The sequence below is a fragment of the Homo sapiens genome, chromosome 10 (assembly GCF_000001405.40).
Source record: "Homo sapiens chromosome 10, GRCh38.p14 Primary Assembly".
Classification (NCBI taxonomy): domain Eukaryota; kingdom Metazoa; phylum Chordata; class Mammalia; order Primates; family Hominidae; genus Homo; species Homo sapiens.
Window position 1 is genome coordinate 5,153,570 of NC_000010.11, and position 20,717 is coordinate 5,174,286.

The 20,717-nt window shown below is 38.7% G+C and overlaps 1 protein-coding gene across 13 annotated transcripts in view, besides 2 other annotated features; it reads right to left on the reverse strand.

Annotated features, from left to right (window-relative positions):
• Positions 1–20,717, reverse strand: part of AKR1C8 (aldo-keto reductase family 1 member C8) — a 69,338-nt gene that overhangs the window by 37,757 nt on the left and 10,864 nt on the right. For 9 of the 13 annotated variants that reach the window (XM_047425162.1, XM_047425161.1, XM_047425160.1 and 6 more), the window contains exons 2-8: positions 9,284–9,451; positions 8,143–8,403; positions 7,243–7,320; positions 6,314–6,436; positions 5,031–5,140; positions 4,066–4,231; positions 2,106–2,188 (exon numbers count right to left, since the gene is read on the reverse strand). In XM_047425162.1, the coding sequence (XP_047281118.1) occupies positions 2,106–2,188; positions 4,066–4,231; positions 5,031–5,140; positions 6,314–6,436; positions 7,243–7,320; positions 8,143–8,403; positions 9,284–9,451 (989 nt within the window). Of the gene's footprint in view, positions 1–350; positions 2,189–4,065; positions 4,232–5,030; positions 5,141–6,313; positions 6,437–6,616; positions 6,802–7,242; positions 7,321–8,142; positions 8,404–9,283; positions 9,452–17,074; positions 17,227–20,717 lie in introns of those variants that run through there. The other 4 variants (XM_047425164.1, NM_001395972.1, NR_027916.3 and 1 more) reach the window with 4 other exon arrangements.
• Positions 10,064–10,264: a silencer, noted in NCBI's record as "peak852 fragment used in MPRA reporter construct". NCBI's record gives its function as "represses an SCP1 promoter by STARR-seq MPRAs in K562 erythroleukemia cells {active_cell/tissue: K562}" and the evidence as "EXISTENCE:reporter gene assay evidence [ECO:0000049][PMID:32103011]".
• Positions 15,424–15,624: a silencer, noted in NCBI's record as "peak853 fragment used in MPRA reporter construct". NCBI's record gives its function as "represses an SCP1 promoter by STARR-seq MPRAs in K562 erythroleukemia cells {active_cell/tissue: K562}" and the evidence as "EXISTENCE:reporter gene assay evidence [ECO:0000049][PMID:32103011]".

Genomic DNA, 20,717 nt, shown 5'->3' on the forward strand with positions numbered 1-20,717 from the left:
GATGCATGGCTGGGTAAGCGTCAGGAAACTTACAGTCATGGTGGAAGGCAAGGGGGAGCAGACGCGTCTTCATGTGGCCAGAGCAGCAGGAAGAGAGTGAAGGGGAGATGCTACACATTTTTAAACAACCAGATTTCATGAGAACTCACTATCACCAGAACAGCAAGGGTAAAGACCGCCCCTATGATCCAATAACCTCCCACCAGATCCCTCCTCCAATACTGGAGATTATCATTGACATGATATTTGTGTGGGGACACAGATCCAAACCATATCAGACATGTTGTTTAGAAAAATCATGAAGGAAAATGCATCAAATGATAAGTATTCTGTAAGGAAAGAATTACAGGTCTTTTTTTGTATTTTTTATTTTTCTAAAATTTATGGGTATTACTTTAATAATCAGGAAAAACAAACATCTTCTTGTTAAAGTCTTCATTTCATAAAATAAAGAAAGGCAAGCAACCTGCAACTACAGATCCTACTTCCTACTCCTCTATCAAATACTGAAATCCTCTCTCTGTCACCTAAAAGGAGGAAATTGTGGTGGTAATGTTCAATAGCTCATGGTCAATATTCTTCAGAAAATGGAAAATAAGGGTGATTAGCAGCACTGAAAGAGAAAAAATATTAATTTAGTAACTTTTTTCCATTCTGTCAAAGAGTTTTTCTGAAGAAGCACTTGGGATGGGCTAAAATTCCCGAATTTACCACCACGTCCCTACTTGTACCTCGGCACACATGGTTTAATCTATGGAGGGGATGAGATGCATTTCTAATACCCACACCTGAAAAACACAATTATGACTTATTTAAATATAATCATAAAGATACTTGTTAGTAATTAAAATTACTGTTTGTTTTCCTTTTTATGTTCATTTTTCTTTTTTACAATTTGTTCTTTTTAATTGGGTGACATTAAAGAGTACCTTCTAAGCAGTTAAATGTGCCAGGAGTCATATTGACACAGGGCCACAGACATGAGTAAGACAATGCATTCACAGTCTCATAAGGCAGATCACAGACTTATACTTAGCCTCTGGGTACAGAAAAGTTACTTCCCACATTTTTCTCATTGAAAATGTTTCCTCTCAGAATCTTGGTGTGGTTTTACATAAAGGAGGATTCTTCAGATCTTTTTTGGAGACTGAGTCTTTACTCTGGCAACCAAAATTGTATTTCCCCTGCTTCTAAACTTTCCTCTAAACTCCTCTCTATTTAGCCTTCTCTCTCCTTAGTCCTGAGATCCTGCAGTAGTTGAGCAACTGGAACGTCACGTTTATAAATAAACCAAAGTCAAGGGATGTTGGGCTCTCCAGAGGTGGACTTCAGGTGGACAAAGATGACACTGGAGTAAGAGTCATGCCTTGAGGATCCAGAGAAACTCCAAAGGATCTTATCTTGGTAAAGGCTATTGACACCTCAGTCACTAGCATTTGAGGGTCTATTAATCTCATAATTCATTCACAATTCAGCATGGTGAGATTATATAGCTGAGGAAATGGGAGTTGTGGTAGGTAAAGAGGGCCAAGAAAGACATAAATTTTTGCAGAAATAGTTGGTATCCTGAAGAGGGAATACCACATTAAGGCTTCCCTAGGAGACAGGCACCTTTGCCTTCATGGGCCCATCCTGTATTAATACTTAAATTGTGTTTCCATTGCCATGATGTAAACACAAAGATAGAGCTGGATGGAGTCATTATTACATATGCATTATTATTGTATTCATTTTTCTTCTGATTTTAATATAAATTAAAGAGAACGTTATGATGGGCCCCTATAGGTTTGTAGGTCCTACACACTGAGCCTTCTAGACTCATAGGCAGTGGGCCCTGAGTGCTAGACCCAGGCACAGATAGTAAGGGCCTTCAAGAATTGGATTCACAATGGTGCAGACATTGGCAGTTTCACTTACAGACACATTTCTGCTGGGTCAGAGATTGAGTCCTGGAGGAAACCTCTGGTCTGAAGGCTACAGGGCATCTCCTATTTCACCCCATGCCTGAATTTGGGCCTGTCTTCCTGATGTAGGGAAGATGTGTTCCCCATTTCCCTGCATACTACAGAAAACAGCCTGTGAGAGAATCTACAAGCATCACTTACAATTGTAACTTGTCATATCGGAGATTTCTGTTGAGGCCATCAATGGCTTTCATGTCCTCTGGAGTCAACTCAAAGTCAAAAATCTGAAAGGAAGAAAACACTCACATTAACCCCTCCCCAGGGCAGCAGCTTCTACATGGGAATACAAGGACTTTCCAGGAGGCAGAGGCAAGGATGGCATTGGGGGAAGCATTTTCATCCTCATCAGCTTCCAGGTGCATGTGGCTTGAGACGTCTTCCACCTGAGACCTCTTCCACCTTCATTCTGCCTCTTCTCCATCCCATCCCTCTCCTACTGGGCTCCACTTCTCAAAAGAAAGGTGTGCACTCATCAATCTAAAATATTTATTGAGAATTGCTTGAGGCAGAAAAAGGAAATCCTTTATTTTAAAATAGAAAATAAAGTATGCAAAATAACTGCCACCTGGACATGTCCACACTTGGTCAGGGATTTGTTTCCTCACTTCCCGTGGAACCTGATCCAGCCTTGGAATGACAGAGCCTTAGAACACAGGAAACTCCCACTCAAGAATCTGTTTGCCTCAGAAAAAGCATTTTCTGGACAACTGTTCTACTTGCTCACCTCAGGACCCCTAAATACTATTTCCAGCTGTGTTTGCTCTTCCTTATAAAAAATGCTTACTAATTGATCTTTGAGACACTTAGATCTTATGTTCAAAGAGTTCTGCATTTTTAATAAATCTCTCTTACTTAAGTCAAGAGTAGTTTTCATTTGTCAACACATAGTCCCTGATGAGGAGCCCATTAATAGTAAAACAGATATTTTTTGGTTAAAAAAAAAATGCTACTTTCATTATGTGATCCAGGACACAATTTCATGAAAGACTCAGATCTATCTATCTATCTATCTATCTATCTAATGTATTTATCTCTTTCTCTATATGTATCCGTCCATCTTCTTTCTATCTACCAACACATTTATCCACCACTCTTTTTAAAAATGTACTTCAGAAGTTATATGGTTGTCATGAGAGCAGGTATTAACATTTTGAATTGGATCAAAAAATAAAATGGGCATTTTTTGTTTAAGTTGTCACAATGAGATTTAGATTTACCTATTTAATTTTTCCACAAGTTAATATACTTAATCTAGAACTACAATATTTTGAAATAAATACATTATATATGACTCAAATGTCATCTCTTGTAAATATTAAACTCATAATAAAATTTGTAGCTGTCATTTTAAAATGAGAAACAGCTTACATATTTTTTCAAAATTCTTGTGGGATTCAAAACAAAATAAGTTGGAGACCTGTGATTAATACAAGGTCCAGAGTGGATGTGGAGAAGGGTTTACAAGATAACTTCACTCCTCAATTTCTTAGTTTGGTTGGTCTGTAAACTTATGCCTAGTTTCATACCTGCTAGAGTCACTGCCAGGGGAAGGGTAATAAAAGATAATCCAGAAGGAGCCATTGTATTTAGGTTCTCACAGTCCAGAGAGCACACTGAAGTATTAGCAAATGATGTAAAATTAATAAACAAAAAACTCACTAACAGAGTCATGCCAGGCCAGGGGCTTTTGTGGTGAAAACTGGCCTGGGGTGTCCCAGTAGTTTAACAGAGCAGCTAATTTTATTTGGGTTTGATTTTAAAATACAAATAGGCATTTATAGGTAGAGAAGGTGAAGGAGAAGAATCAGGGTCCTTAAAGTTCATTACCATGTAGAAGAACTCCTGAAACGGATGAAAATAAGTGAGTTGAAATTTGCTTAGTGTCAACCAACTAGTAAGTGGCAAAGCCAAGCCTAGAGATGATAAACCTGAGGACTCTGAGTTCAGTGCCCTCTCGTCGATCCTTCCACACTGCCCTCCTCCCTTAGCACAGAGTGGAGAGCACAGGAATGAATGACACGTGTCGCATTCTCCCATGTAAGAGAGATCGCCCAGATCAGCACCCATGGCTCACTCTGGAGCGACTCTGCTCAACCTTTACCTGGAAGTTCTCTTTGATTCTCTCCTGAGAGAAGCTCTTGGCCAGCACCACCACTCCCCGCTGCAGCTGGTAGCGCAGGGCGACCTGGCCTGGGCTTCCACTGTGTTTCTTGGCAATGGATTTCAAGATCGGCTCCTCCAAGAGATGTGGGCAGTCGGGATCCACCCTGTTGGGGAGGGAACAGACACAGATGTGAAGGATGCAGGATGGAAAATCTACAGTGCGCTGCTCCTTTTCCCCAAATTCTCCAGAGAGTTGAGAGGAGTGGGCACAATACAATTTGATTTAAAACGGTCTGATAACTATTCATATGGATTCATTCATAAATGCAGTGAACTGGAAACAATAAGGCTGTCCATTAACAGGTGAATGGATAAACAAGTTATCCATACCCTGGAATAACACCCAGAAATAAAATGGAAAGAACTACAGATACTCACAGCTACATGAATGCAGCTCACAGATATGGTGAAAGAAGCCAGGTGCAAACTAATGCACATGATCTCTTTCATAGGAAATTTTAGAGCACACAAAACTAATCTAAGGTGAAAAAACCAGAAAATAGTTTCCTAGCAATGAGAAGTTATTGTCTCAGAAGGAAAAAAAATAACTTCTTTGGGAGATAACAAGTTTGTATACCACATTAGGGATGTGGGTTACAGAGTATGTCCATTTGCCAAAATTGTACAGCATTACAGCCTAGGCAAATCTTACCTAAAGACCACTTTAAAATTTATTTTAGGAGTGGGGTTGGGAGTAAGTAGTCACATAGATGAAACAGGAAGGAAAGAATGTTGGTGACATTTAAGCTCAGTAGTGATACATGGGAACAAACTACACCGTTGCTTTTCGCTTTTAATCTTTGAGCTTTTTTATAATACAATTTTTAAAACTTCGCTTTAATAGGAGTTTTTCAGCATCAGCAGAATTCCCGCCATAGGTTAACTCTTTGACATTCTTATTACCACTGTGGGTCTCTTTGGGATCCCAGGGCACTGTAGGCAACTAGAACAATGTCCTTGGACTTGCAGAACTCCAGGAGTTTGCTCTGGTTGAGGTAAGGGTGACATTCCACCTGTAATTTTTCAAGACCAAAAGGTGTCACAATATATGAGCCAATAACCACATGCAAATTTAAAATTGGTCTGAAGGAATGTGTAATACTACATTAATAGATGTACTATACTTTTCATGTTGGCCCTTTTCCCCATGCACCTTCTGAAGCACTTTCAAATCCCATCATTTGCCACACTGATACAGTAATTTTCTTATTCCTTTTCTATTCGTGTTTGAAAATTATTAAAATACCTTGTGCCCCAATTATAGCCTCTAAAAGCCATTTTTACTGAAAGAAACCAAGATTCCTTAGAGGAAGGGCATATTCCAGTTCTGAGTGTGAAAGTTTCCATTTGAGCCTAGAAGAGCTTGCACTCTAGAAAGGAGAGAAGATAAGAATGACAATGACGCATGCTGCCAAAGGACCCAGGATCTTACTTGAAGAGGCTCCTGCTGGTCAAAATATGGAAACTTGAGCATCAAAAAAATAGTAATTATGATGAATGGAAAATGACGTATTGGCTAAAATTCATAAATTCGCATGGCATTAATCAAGTGAGATCAGATCTGTAGCACTAAGCTTCAATTTACAGGAAGTACAAAAGGAACATGTCAAAGTGTGTCACGTGGATCGATGAGTAAGCCATTAGGAAGTGATGTGGAAATCTTTACAGGACAAACGACTTGATTTCTTTCATAAAACCGAAACTTTCACTGGATTCCTGACACCACCCTCTCCTGGTTGTCTCCATCTGTCTGGCAGCTTCTTTTCAGTCTCCTTGCCAGTGCCTCTCTGCCTCACCCTCTCCTGTGGATCTTCCTACCTGTTCCTTTTCATCCATGAACTTTCCCTAGGAGAACAAATCCATGTCTGTGAGTTTAGTTACCATCCATAAAGCAATGACTCCAAACATCTGTATCTCCACCTGGACCATCCCGAGCTCCAGACCAAAGCTGCCATTTCCCAACTCAGCACCTCCACATGGCTGTCTCATAGAAACTTTCACCCCTTCTGAAGAATTGTGCTCTTCCACCCCACTCAAATTGCTCTTTCTCTGGTATCTCCTATTTCTGAGAGAAAAGAACTCTCATCTACACAGAAGACATCAAGCAGAAACTTGGAGACATGATTAAGCAGGAAGTGTGTGAACAGCAAAAAGTCAGAGAAGGTCCCGGTGGGCTAAGGGCTCACCTGGTTGCAGGTGGGCTTGTACTTGAGCCCTGGCTTGTTGAGGATGAGTTCCAGCAGCTTGTGATTGAAATTGGACACCCCAATGGACCTGGTTAAACCTGCTTCTTTGCACTTCTCCAGGGCCTGGGGAGGAAGGATATGGGTGATAGACCTTTAGTGTAAATTTTTCTTTTCAATTGGCGTTTGACTTTGTAAATGCTGGAAATCTGTTTTAACATATATAAATATTAGACTGAATTAAACAGTTTTATCACTTGAATATACAATTTCCTAATGCATTACCTTGCTATGCATATATGTTTGTCTCCTTGATTCTATTACAAGCATACTCATAACAGCAAGTAGACATATTTGTTGTCTCCCACTTATTTCAATACTACCTATCTGGCTTGAGATATGCAATAGTTCCTTAACAAATTATACCAGAGTCATAAGCAAAGGAGACTCTTGGGTTTTCTGTTAGTAGAGGGTTTTCTGCTACCTCTGTTCTAGAATGGGAAAAAAAAATGAAAAAAAATCAATCAAATGGGTTTTTCAAGGGCAGGTTCACTGTCCTGCACCTTCCACCCTCCTGCTGAGTCAGTCCGCAGCTGTCCCTCCTCCATGATGTGTTTCTATCCAAAGATAACATGCTGACTCCTTTTGTGCTTCTCTATGCTGACCCCTTATAGGGCTCACATCCTCAACCTGATCTCAAGGCCAAAGGTGCCTCTATGTCTACTTAGAACCTTAGAAGTTACAATTAAAATGAACTGTAGAGGCCATCTCATTCCACTCTCTCACTTCACAGATGAGAACACAGAGGCACAGAGAAGCTCCACATCTGAGGTCAGACAACTGCTGGAGCAAAATCCCATCTCTTCTGACCCCTCCTCCTGCAATTCCAACCTCACTACACAGTGCTGCCTGGTGTCTGCAGCAGAACATACCTCCCAAGTGTCACAAAGCTCCACAGTTTCTAAAATAATCTCTCCACTGGCATCCTTTGGCAGTAATTCTTTCCCAGGCTGGAAAATAGAAAAGAAGATAAAGAAGGACATTTTCTATGGAATTCTCCTTTCTGGTGCCTAAGGAGCTCGGCCAAACAACCTTCAAGAGTTTCAGGAGGTGGTGATTATTAATCTGAGTGCACATATTTGTGCCTACATTTGCATGCACGTGTGCATGTGTGTATATATATGTGTGTGGGTATGTGTGTAAATGTGTTTGCATGCATGTGTGGATTATGTGTACATATGTGTATGTGTGTGCAAAGACATGAGTGGAAAGAAAGATAACTTCCAGGTTCCATCCTCCACACATCCCTACTCGTCACTAAGAATGAGGTCCCTACAGTTGGAATTCATTTTGTTTCCCAAGGACAAGCTGGTGTGGAGGACAGTGCTTAATATAGCTATTCATCAGTGTGTTTAGCCCCAGTTTACGCTCACCCGACTCAGAGAGTAAGGACATCAGAAGTGCTCAGCCAACGTCCACTGTGATGAGAGGTTAGATCAGCGGAGCCCAAAGGAGCCCATCTGTGCCACATGCACCATCCCAGGTATCTCTCTTTTGTTGGGCTGAAGGGTACATACGGGAGACCCTCCCACTAAAGAGGTGGGGGTTCCCATTGTATCTCTGCAGTCTGTGGTAACTCAACATTCTTGAAGATCCTAATGGCTCAGGGCTTCCATTCAGGAACACAAGCACTGAGAAATACAGTGCAATGCCCTCAACTGTCTAGGGTAGAGGAAGTGAGATCATTGAATCTGAATCCCCCTTAAGGCTGGGGGACAAGGATAGACAGAAAATCTTGATGGTAGAGTCACTCAATTGTGAAAGATACTCACGAAAGTTTTGGCAATCCTATGCACCTCACTCAAATCTGCCTCTCTCAGGAAGAACCCTGGAAACCAAGCTAGAATTAGATAATTCAGATGCTTATAACCATGATGAAACAGTCTTGGGCATAACAAGGAAAAACAAAAGCTGACCTTCATAGCAAATGGTACATGAATAATGAAGAGATCTACATAGTCCGGTCCAAGTTTCTTCAGTGACCTTTCTAGGGCCGGGTGAACCAATTCTGCCCGAAAGAAAGTAGCCCAAAGCTGCAGTGACCAAAAGAAACAAAAATGGATTATAATTTCACACATTTGAGGACAAAAATTAAACTTCATGGTCAGACATTGAGATATGAGTCTTAAAACACTGTGGTCCAAAGCTAAAAGAGCTGGGACTAAACATATGTTACTCAGTATAAATCAAGTCCTTGCTGGGATACTGAGATTTCCTTGAATGACTGCAATGTAAGAAAACTGTGAAGAAAACTGTGAGTAAAACTAATAAGGGGCAGGAAAATCAACTTCAACGTATCAAGGATTAGAGGATTCATCCACCAAAATGAGTCAAGAAATGGCAGGACAGGGAGAACAGAATCTCTTGTCCTGTATAATAAATTCCTAGAAAGAATTATTCTGAGAGACCTACATTCTAAAAATAAATTATCGATGTAAACACACACAGGGTGCATCCCTGGAGACCTCAGCTCTGTTTACATATGAAGCATGGATTTCCATCTAGGACAATTTTAGAGAGTTCAGAAAACTCAATGCTGATTTGAGAAAAAGTGTTTTCTTGTCTGGATCACTTTTCTGATTAATATGTGACCTTACTTGCTACATCCTAAGAGCTCTTACTGAAGAACTGAAGGAGTGGACCCATAGTGGCTTGGTTAATCCATACAACAGTTAAAGGAGATAAGTATTATTTCCATTTTATACATGAATACTGTCTGATGCTCAGAGACACTGAAGAATTGTGTTCTACCAGTAAAATATTTCAGAGTAAGAAAGTCTTTTCTGTTTCTATAATATGCCTTCATAATATTAGGAGGTAAATAAAGAATTCAACTTAGACCATGTTTTCATTTCAAAATAATATATCTGAACTTATAGTGGCCTCTGGCTACTGTACACACAGAACTTTCACCTTGATGGTGTAGAATATTTCCTCTCTCTTGACGGTACCATCAGCGATCTTCTCCCAAATGGCCTGTCCAACCTCCTCCTCATTTTGGTATAAGTATGCTGAATCAATATGGCGGAAGCCTACGTCAATAGCCACTTTGGTGGCCTCGGCAGCCTGGCTTTTGGGAGTCTATAAGACAGGAGTAAAGAGTTGTTGATCTGCCCAACTCAAAGAAAATCAATGCATTTCCCCCAATAGCATTTTCACTGTCGGTTTCTGCTGGCCGCCTCCTCCAATTTTGATGACACGGGTTTCAGTGACAGACCTGTACTCTGAGGACATTGATTAAACTCCAGTATAACTTCTATTCCCAAATGAATTAGAGAAATTGGCTTCACCCTGGAGCATGGAAAAATCATGTCTCATTCCATATCAATCAACTGTAGAAATTGAATATAACATATTAGACACACCTTATACTTACTGGATAAAATGGATAATTATGCCACTGAAAGCAACTGGCCCTGTCTGACAGCTGTTGTAAATTGACTTCTCATGTTATAGTTCTACCAAGATTAAGCACATTGTTCTATCATTTTTAGAGCAATTCTTGCAAAGCAACCCCAAAGCTCACCCTACCTCCCTGTGACCAGTGTGACACTTTAAATTCCCTTCAGTAAACTGAGTGGATGGCAAATAGTGTATTTCATGAGAAGCACAATCTAGTCCCCATTATGACACTATGCCTCCTAAGTCTTCCCTTCTCACTTCCTAATGTGTAGAATTAAGATAAAAAAGTTAGTAAGTTAGGGTGGGTTCTTGGTAAAACTCCTTTAAACAGAGAAATGGCCTGAAAAATCAGGCTGCAGACACAGATAAGGAAACTTCCACAAATCTCTGGCCCATTCGGATAAAAGACAAAGGCCCAACATAAAAACACATTTGTCCTTTATGCCTAAGACATACCAACAACTACACTAATAAGAGAACAAGACTCACCACAGATATGCCTTTGTCCCAACATAAAAACGCCTTTGTCCTTTAAGCCTAAGACATACCCATAACTACACTAATAAGAGAACAAGACCCAACATAGAAATGCCCCTGTCCTTTGTGTAACCAACAGGCTTCTAGAAAGTAGTCTCTTCTCCTTTTGTGGACGTGTACACTGTGGGCTACAGTGGCTTCCAGTGGACACTTTTCTTTTTTGGACATGCTTTTGACTGTGAGCTGAGCCTCTAAGAATCATCACTACAGCCTTTGATTGCTCCTGGGCCAAGGTCCTTGGTCAAGCTTTTACTCCAACTCTCTATTAGTCTCGGACCAAGGTCCTGGACAAAACTTTCACTTCAGTCTCTGATTGGTCCTGGGCCTAGGTCCAAGGCAAAGCTGAGTTACACTTTCTCCAAGTCCACTCAACACATTCTTTCCTTTCCAGTTCAGAACAGCCCAGACCCAACCTCACAGATGACAAACCATTCAGGCCCCCTCTCTACTATAGAGAGCTTTCTTCTTTCATTTATTAAACTTTCCTTCTAACCTCACCCTTTGTGTCCACAATTTTCTTGGTGGTAAGTCAAAAAACTTTGGGTGATACATCATGAGAGACTACTACATTTTTGATACATTGATGAGACTGTAACATATTTTTGGTGCATGGGTTGGGAATGGGATTTATGGGAAGGGTTAGCAGGAGCCAACCGTCAAACTCTTTACTTTCATTTCAGATATTTTTCTCTCTCAAGAGCAAACAAAACACTGGGCCCCTGTCAGTGAATAGGGCAGCTGCCAGCCTTACAAGACTCAGGGGACAGGCTTCCTGAAGAGGACTTCGTCAATGCCCATCATCCTCAGGTGTTGGGAATGTTGATTCTGTTCCACTCCAGTTTTCTTTCATGGAAGACCTACCTGTCACATGCAGCTGAAAAGAGGTCCTAAGACAACTGAAATTTACTGGCCGAGGCTACATCTCAGTGTTATCTGAAGGCTCCTGCACTAACTCCAGTTCCCAACAGCCTGTCAGGGCTTTGGCACCAGAACTTCTAGCCTTTCCTACTGCATTTTCTTTCTCTCTTTTCATGGCTATCATGTCTTCTGTTCCTTCTTTGTATATAATGTTATAGCATTTTTACAAGTTGTGGATATATTCTTATTGGGTAAACTCAGCCAGTGTTGTAGTAATCAGGAATGTAATTCAAATAGGTACTGATTTTGTGATTCCCTAGAAACAAGGGGAATTCAATATTTCTGTCTAAATTTTCACCTAATAAGGGCCTTTTTGTCCCTACTGATAGACATTCATGACACTGTATAGGGGGTTATTTCACCACGAGTGAATACCCTCCTCCCTCTCCATTTGGGTTGTCTTTCCTCCATGTAAAAATTCACCACTGCCCAATGAATTTTAACAGTTTCTTTATGAAGCAAATTAGTTTTTTTTCCACTGTGGAACATATTATAGGAACAGCCTATTAAGCCTCAAACCTCTAACTTCTACCTGGAAAAAATCTGGAGTCAGAGTTTTTGCCTAACATTTCAGACCCTACAACACCTCCTAGGGGGATAGGATTTTTTCTCCATGGGGAGCCTTGTCAGCCCTTTGCTCAAAACCTCTAGTTTCCCAATTCCTCTCCCTTCTATATCCCTCTAATAGTGATCAAACTTCATACCCCATCTGTGAACAGAAAAAGGCCACTTTCACCAATCAGAAAGAAACTTCCCTGGAGAAACAAATTCTAGCCTCAGTGATGTCCCCATCAGCGGGAGGACAGCCATTCAATCCTCAGCTTCTTTTGAGACACCTGTTCTACATCCACTTACACTGACATTTAAACAAAAAAGAGTACTTTATGTTTAATAGTCAATCAGTCTCATTCTCTAGAAATTCAATGCTTTACCAGGGCCATAGCTTGAAAAGACAGAGATGGGGTTAAAACAGTCCCTTCATTAAAGGGTCTTACCCAAATCTGACTACTGTACAATGTCTCCCAGACACCTAGGGTAACTCCAGGGAGGCTTATGATCTAAGAAATCTAGAAAGACACAGAACTAGTACCTCACACAGGTGAACATGACTACTCCTAACGACTAACTTGTTCAGATCTATGGGTGAAGGTGACACTTGCATCCATGGGTGACTCCTATAACAGTCACTGGGACCCAGAGGATGAGAGAAAAAAGGAAAAGTGGGACACCCTTTCTATCTTTCTCTCCACCCTGGGTCACTCTAAAAAGAAGAAAGAGACTAAGGGACATCTTTTCTCCTCCCTTGTCTAGATGAGTAACAAACCATCTTCAGCCTGCACTCTTCTCAAGTGCATTCTGAAGCATTGAGATTCCTTTGACCCCGAGACTCTGAAGAAAAAAAATGGCCATACTGCCCAAGGTAATTTATAGATTCAATGCCATCCCCATCAAGCTACCAATGACTTTCTTCACAGAATTGGAAAAAACTACTTTAAAGTTCATATGGAACCAAAAAAGAGCCTGCATTGCCAAGTCAATCCTAAGCCAAAAAAACAAAGCTGGAGGCATCATGCTACCTGACTTCAAACTATACTACAAGGCTACAGTACCCAAAACAGCATGGTACTGGTACCAAAACAGAGATATAGACCAACGGAACAGAACAGAGCCCTCAGAAATAATGCCACATATCTACAACCACCTGATCTTTGACAAACCTGACAAAAACAAGAAATGGGGAAATGATTCCCTATTTAATAAATGATGCTGGGAAAAGTGGCTAGCCATATGTAGAAAGCTGAAACTGGATCCCTTCCTTACACCTTATACAAAAATTAATTTAAGATGGGTTAAAGACTTAAACGATAGACCTAAAACCATAAAAACCCTAGAAGAAAACCTAGGCAATAACATTCAGGACATAGGCATGGGCAAGGACTTCATGTCTAAAACACCAAAAGCAATGGCAACAAAAGCCAAAATTGACAAATGGGATCTAATTAAACTCAAGAGCTTCTGCACAGCAAAAGAAACTACCCTCAGAGTGAACAGGCAACCTAGAGAATGGGAGAAAATTTTTGCAATCTACTCATCTGACAAAGGGCAAATATCAAGAATCTACAATGAACTCCAACAAATTTACAAGAAAAAAAAAACCCATCAAAAAGTGGGCAAAGGATATGAAGAGACGCTTCTCAAAAGAAGACATTTATGCAGCCAAAAGACACATGAAAAAATGCTCATCATCACTGGTCATCAGAGAAATACAAATCAAACCCACAATGAGATACCATCTCACACCAGTTAGAATGGTGATCATTAAAAAGTCAGGAAACAACAGGTGCTGGAGAGGATGTGGAGAAATAGGAACACTTTTACACTGTTGGTGGGTCTGTAAACTAGTTCAACCCTTATGGAAGTCAGTATGGTGATTCCTCAGGGATCTAGAACTAGAAATACCATTTGACCCAGCAATCCCATTACTGGGTATATACCCAAAGGATTATAAATCATGCTGCTATAAAGACACATGCACACATATGTTTATTGCGGCACTATTCACAATAGCAAAGACTTGGAACCAACCCAAATGTCCAACAATGATAGACTGGATTAAGAAAATGCGGCACCTATACAGCATGGAATACTATGCAGCCATAAAAAATTATAAGTTCATGTCCTTTGTAGGGACATGGATGAAGCTGGAAACTATCATTCTCAGCAAACTATCGCAAGGACAAAAAACCAAACACCGCATGTTCTCACTCATAGGTGGGAATTGAACAATGAGAACACATGGACACAGGAAGGGGAACAACACACACTGGGGCTTGTTGTGAGGGGAGTGGGGAGGGATAGCATTTGGAGATATACCTAATGTTAAATGACTAGTTACTGGATGCAGCACACCAACATGGCACATGTATACATATGTAAGTAACCTGCACATTGTGCACATGTAGCCTAAAACTTAAGTATAACAAAAAAAAGACAGTAAATGATTAGGCTTATCTGGTAAATTGTATAAAAAACACTGTAAAATGATACGTGATGCTAGCTAGACCTTCTTTCAGTTACATTTATGTGTGTGTTTTTATAGGAATGTTCCAAAATTGTATACAACTCTTAGAAACCTAATATGCCATAACTGTGGTTATTATGTTGTATGCTACAGAAATAGTCAGATTTCCTTGTCAATTGCTAATTATAATGAACTTCCACCAGATTAAAAAAAAAGACTTATATTCTTATACACATGGCATGGCTTTCTTACCAACTCTAGGATGGACAGGCCTAGACTCCTGAGAAAAGTGTTAATTTTAATACTATCCAACAACTAGATCTTTCCTGCACACAGGAGAGGAAACGGTCTGAGGTTTCCTATGTGCAAGCTTCTTTGCCCTGAAAAACAACCCAGATCTTTGTAAGCATTATAAAATTGACCCTACCCTCTTAACAGTTGTATCAGACAAGCCCACAGTAGACAACTCCCCAAAGTCAGAGAAATGACCCCCCAGAAAACCCTCAAATGCAACTCCCAGGTGCCCCAGCCCTTCTTGTTCCCATTTTCCAGAGCCTCTCTTGTCACATAGTCATCAATTCCTCCAGTTCTACCACCCAAACCCCCGAGTCCACTACTATCCCTACCAGAAATGCCTGATAGTCATGGTACCACTACAGTCCAGATTCCTTTTTCATTACAAGACCTTAAACAACTAGAGGGAGACCTGGGCAAGTTATTTGATGACCCTGATAGATACATGAAGGCTTTCCAAAATCTAACTTAAGTGCTTGATCTTACATAGAGAGATGTTATGTTACTCTTAAACCAAACCCTAACTACTACTGAGAAACAGAGAGCTCTGCAGACAACAAAGAGATTCAGAGATGAAAACATGTCTCCTGTAACTGGCTGAAAAAGAAAACCAGTAAAAAGGGGAAAGAGAATGAAAAAGATAAGATCCCCATTCCCAATAACAAGAGAGCCAATATCCCTTGAAAACCCTAACTAGAGTTCTAGTGATCCCATAGAGGTGTGAAAAAGAAAGCACTTTCTGATGTACATATTAAAAGACTGACAAAAAATCAGAACCAAGTCTCTTAATTACTCTAAACTGTCCATGTTGAATCTAAAAACAGATGAAAATACCTCAGCCTTTATGGAAAGGCTGAGATAGACTTTAGTGAAACCCACCTCCCTATCTCCTGATTCAATTGAGGGACAATTAATCTTAAAAGACAAATGTATTACTCAGACAAGCACTGACATCAAAAGGAAACTACAAAAACAGGTCATAGGTCCAAATAACACCGCACCTCCCCCTGTGCCTGAGCTGTCTTTTCTGTGTTTTACTGTCTGCTCTTTCTGGCTGCTTGTAGTTAGAAGAGAAGTGATTTCCTTGAAATGCATGAGGCTAGAAAGGGAGCTGCAATTTAAAGTGGTAGTGTTTGTCCGAGATGATGGTGCTCCTGTTCTATAATTCCAGACCCTATAGTTATGAAAGGACAAAGGGTAATGTGTTGTTTCTCGCTACTTCCTGCTGGGGGGCGGGGGAGACTTTCTTGGTGTTGGATTGATTGCAGGAGCAACACGGTCTGTAGATGTTTCTGGGTAGTTGTCTACGAAATGGCCATGATTCTGTTGGTTAAAAATTTTTGGAAAAGATTAATTAAGCTGGGTAAAAACATTAGTTCTTTTTAGCAGTGTTTCTTATTAGGCCTGATTGGTTGAGACAGAAGTAACATTTTTTTTCTTAATGACAGTCAGAGGCGCATGTTTGGAAAGATCCATGTTTTTTTTTTTATTGTTAGTAACTGTTATTCCTGTTATGAGGATAATAATTAAGCAAAATCTTACAGTAACTGAGATTATCTATCAGATATTCCATCCTGAGGGTACTACAGTATATAGTCCTACCGCAAATAGTAGAGTGAGTGAAGCATTTCTCACGAGGGTAGCATAGTAAATAATTTCCATTAAAAAAAGTTGTAATATTTAGCTTAAAAGGAGAGGTAGAAAAAATAAAATGTATTTGGTGAGGTAGGGTTGAGGCTGAGTAAGATGAGTAATTTTCACTTAGTTACTTACTTTTTATCATTTTCAGCTTAAGATTTCTTATTTGTTGACAATGATATTTAGGACATTTTTGGGCTGTCAGGGGTTGCTTCCTTAGCTTTCCAGGTTTTGACTCGAGTGTGATGTATTTAGGAGTTGATTCCTGTAACAGGTACCGTCTTAATTACCCTGGGTTCCATGGACTCACTAGACATGGGGGCAAAGGATTCTGGACACCCTTAGTTATTAGTTGTTGGCACCAGCAGTGAAGAGATTTCCTCCTGTGATGGTCGGGGGACTCAGAGGCAGTGCCTGCTGAAACATCTGGTTTTCGGTTTACAGGACTTTAGGAAAGCATAGCTTATTTTAGAAACTTGTAGCAAGAAAAATTAGAATTTAAACAGTAGAAAATAATAAAAAGTGTAAAACATTACACAACACTACCATTTAACAACAGGTGTGCTATAGTTTTTGAAACATAATTTTCTCTCTTCAGTTTCCCATTTTTATTAAAAGACAGATTATGGTAGGATTGGTCTGCTTTATTATACTTGGCTTAATTATTTGTATACAGTGCAGCAAGAATAATTATTTATTACATAGGCCTTTTAAATTAGCTTTGATGGAACTTTGTTCCATAGAAGGAATCTGAGATAAGGCCTTTTTAAAGCCAACCCCATTTATGAATTTGTACCATTAAATACCTATGAGTTGGTGAATTTCTCTTCTCTTTGAGGTCCCAAGATAACTTAGGGTTCCTGGCCTGCTAGAAAGTGACATTCTTTACTTACCATGGATCAGAAACCCTGTACAGGGACTCTGTAGACAAAATATGAGGTTAGTTTTCCAAGGGCTTTATTGGCTTCATAAGTTAAGTTTGATTCCTTAAAGGAAAGCACACCATTCCAGTCAAAGCCTTGGTAAAATAACCAGTTTTTCCAATTGTGTCCTGTTACAAAACAAAAACAGATTCTTATTGCACTTATGCAAATAACTATATTGCCATAACTTAAGAATACTCACAGATAGTTTCCAAATTTTGGAGAAAATCAGGTAGACCGAAACAAGTATGCTCCAAATTTTGTTTATGGGAGTAAACTAAATTGTTAAAAGCTGTTAATAGCTCAAAAGAAAAATGTCTTTCACTTTGAAAAGCAAAACGAAGGATTACAATACTTTAAGCAAAATGTTAAAAAGATTAGCTTCCTATTAATTTAATTTATGCAGCTAATTCCTGTCCTGTTTGATATTAATTAACATTTTAGCTCTTTAAAAGTCCTGAACATTTTTCCTCTATTTTGATGTTACAATCTCCAAAGTTATCAGAAACCTGCATTTAAGAGTACCTGTTAGAGCTTTATAGCTGATTATAAAACCACCTTTTGAAGAAGACCAAAACAAGGCAACAATTGCTTATGGATAACAAAAAGTTTTAAGGTAGCCATAGTTGAAGACACAATTGACAAGGATATCTGTTACCCCTGTGGCACACAATAATTTTAACATAACAATTATAATTATTACTGATAATACACACTAAGATATATGGGAATTATAGGTGTTTCCTATAACTTTGGGACACATACAATAATGTATTCATATAAATATAGCCCAAAGAAAGCTAAACACCATTTTATATTTGACAATGCTTTCTGCATGATTTGATACTAAATAAGCCAAATTATACTTTTATATTAGTGTGCTATTAATTTTAAATTTAATTTTTAATAAAACCTTGTATACATATTTACCTAATTTTAATGTCTGAGCATAAGGTAAGATTTTTACAGACTCTTTTTAACCCTTTATAATTTTTGTTAAAGAGCAGGTTAGTGCTTTAAGAAAAACCCATTGTGCTTTTATTTTAATGCTCAATTTACAGAAAAACTGGATGATGCCCCTTTAACCTTAGCCAATATGTTTACACACAGAATTTCCTTTACAATTAACCTTCCAAAACTTGCTTAAGCTTTTAAAACAATTCTTCAACCTTTGAATGGAGGTAAAAATCCACATTCTTATGCCTCCTTAATAATCTTTTTACCAAAAGTATATTTTACTTTTCTTACACACCTTGCACATAAACTGTTTCTTCAATAGTTTTAAATACATGTTACAGTGTTAACTTTCAGCAACCTTTACTTTTGTTGAAAACCTTCATAAGTTTGGGATTTTAATTCTGTACTAGGTGTAGAGACTAGGACCCAGACAGAAGCGCAGATAAGGTTTGACTTATTCCAGCATTTAACTTCATGTGTCCTAGGTTTTACTTAGCTGCAAACAGGCAAGTTGTACAGCTAACAGTTATAGTGGCATTTTATAAAGCATTCAGGAGGCCTAATTACTTTTAAATTGTACAACATTTCTTGCATAAATTCTCTTTTATAAAATTTTCCATGACCTTCACAGTCAATTTCTGATATGCCTTAATTTTTTGACTTGTAAACATTCCTTTCTTTAAACAACCAGTTAATTTACTTTAGGACAAGAAGTTACCACATAAGGTTTTTTAAATATAAGTTATCTTTTTTAAAATATTAAAGGTAACAGTTCTTTCCCCAAAAAACCTTCCTTCATGTCTGTGGACTAGACTGCCTAAGGCCACAAGATTAAAAGTAAGGATATTTTACTAAATAGTTTCAGATGCAGCTATCTTCATTAAACTAATATTAATTTTTATTTATTAAAAATTACACAAGCAAAGATTATTTTGTTTGGGCTGAGTTTTACTTTTGTAGCCTCTATAACAAATTTTGACACCTTATAGTATTTGGCAGAGATAAGTATGAAATTGCTTGATTAATAAATGCAAACAAAAACGTATGCTGGCAACTCTTAAGACATTTCTAATTTTACTGTACTGGTAAGTTTCAAAGATCAAAGTCATGTGAACTGAAAGGTTCCACAGCCTTTTTTTCTTAAAAATATTTAAGTGCTTATTTTCCTTAGGACAATTAATTAGAGCTCTTTTAATAGACATTGCACACATAACACACATATAGCCAGACAGACAACCAGAAGAAGATCTAGTAGTTATAAGATTTACATCTGCTAATTTCCTGATTGGATAATTGGCCTCCAGATGAGGCCCTTTAAGAACAGGGCTAGGAAAACAATTTTTAGGGCCTAATAAACAAGCATAGCTGGAAGACAAAGGCAGATTTTGAGAGACACTTATTTACCTTTAATTCCAGGGGCTCCATAAGGAAAAGAGAGAATTTTTCCAAAATGAGATTTGTGTCAACTTTTCTATTTTCCCAGGGAGTCCCAGGCTACCAGAAGTTATTTTAGGGTTTTTTATGCATGCACTAAGAGTGGCAAGACAGAATGGAGAAAAGTAATTCAGTTAACTGGGAAAAAAAACCTTTTCTAGGAAAACAAGATTGATGAAGAGAAAAATATAAAAGCCTTTTGAATATACTTAAAACTTTGATCAGCAACAAATCAGACATGGAGAAAGGGACATGAATGCAAGCAATGCCTTTAACCCCAGTCACTTCCCAGAGAGGGAGGATGGCAGAGGTGGTTTTTGAATGTGTAACAGGTGCAGAATGAGGAGGAGTGGGGTTTGGGACTGAAGGCTTGGAGGCAGGAGGAACCAAAGGGGGCAGAGGCTTAGGACAAGTGAGAAGCAGATGCAAAGGCATGAGAATAAAGAAGGGGTTCATCCAAGAAGAAACTAGAAAACCTGAACATAACTATAAACAAATAGTGGTACAAACTTATACAGCCAAAAAAGACTTCAAGAAAAACTCCCCTAGAAAACCGAAAAGCCAGACATACTAACAAAACGATTAAAAAAAAAAAATCTACTCAGACTTTTGGCCTTTCTCCCTATACAAACCAATAAAAAGAATAATAAGCATCACTGTTTATATTCTCTGTAAAATTTTAATTAATGAAAAATAATTTTCTTAAAGAACACTCAACTAAAGATTGATATTGAAACTATAGGTATATTTAAAAGACCTTTATAGTTTTCTCTTCTTAGATCTTGTTTTTCTGGAAAAGGTTTTATTCTCAGTCAACTAAATTACTTTCCTCCACTCTGTCTTACCACCCTTAATACCTGCATAAAAGGCCCTAAGATGACTTCTGATGACCTGAGACTCCTTTGGAAATAAAAGAAAAACCATATATACACATACACAACAAATTCCATTTTGAGAGAAATCTCTGTTTTCCTTGTGGAACCTGAACCCAAAGAATTAGAGTCAGATAAATCCCTCTCAAAATCTATTTTTGTCTTCCAACTATACCTATTTATTAGGCCCTAGAAACTGCACATTTTCCTAGCCCTGTTCTTAAAAAAAAAACTCCATCCTGAGACCAATAATCCAATCAGAAGACTGACAAACAGAAAATTTTACAACTACTAGATCTTCTTCTGTCTATAGAGTCATATATATGTTAGATATGTGATGTCTATAAAAA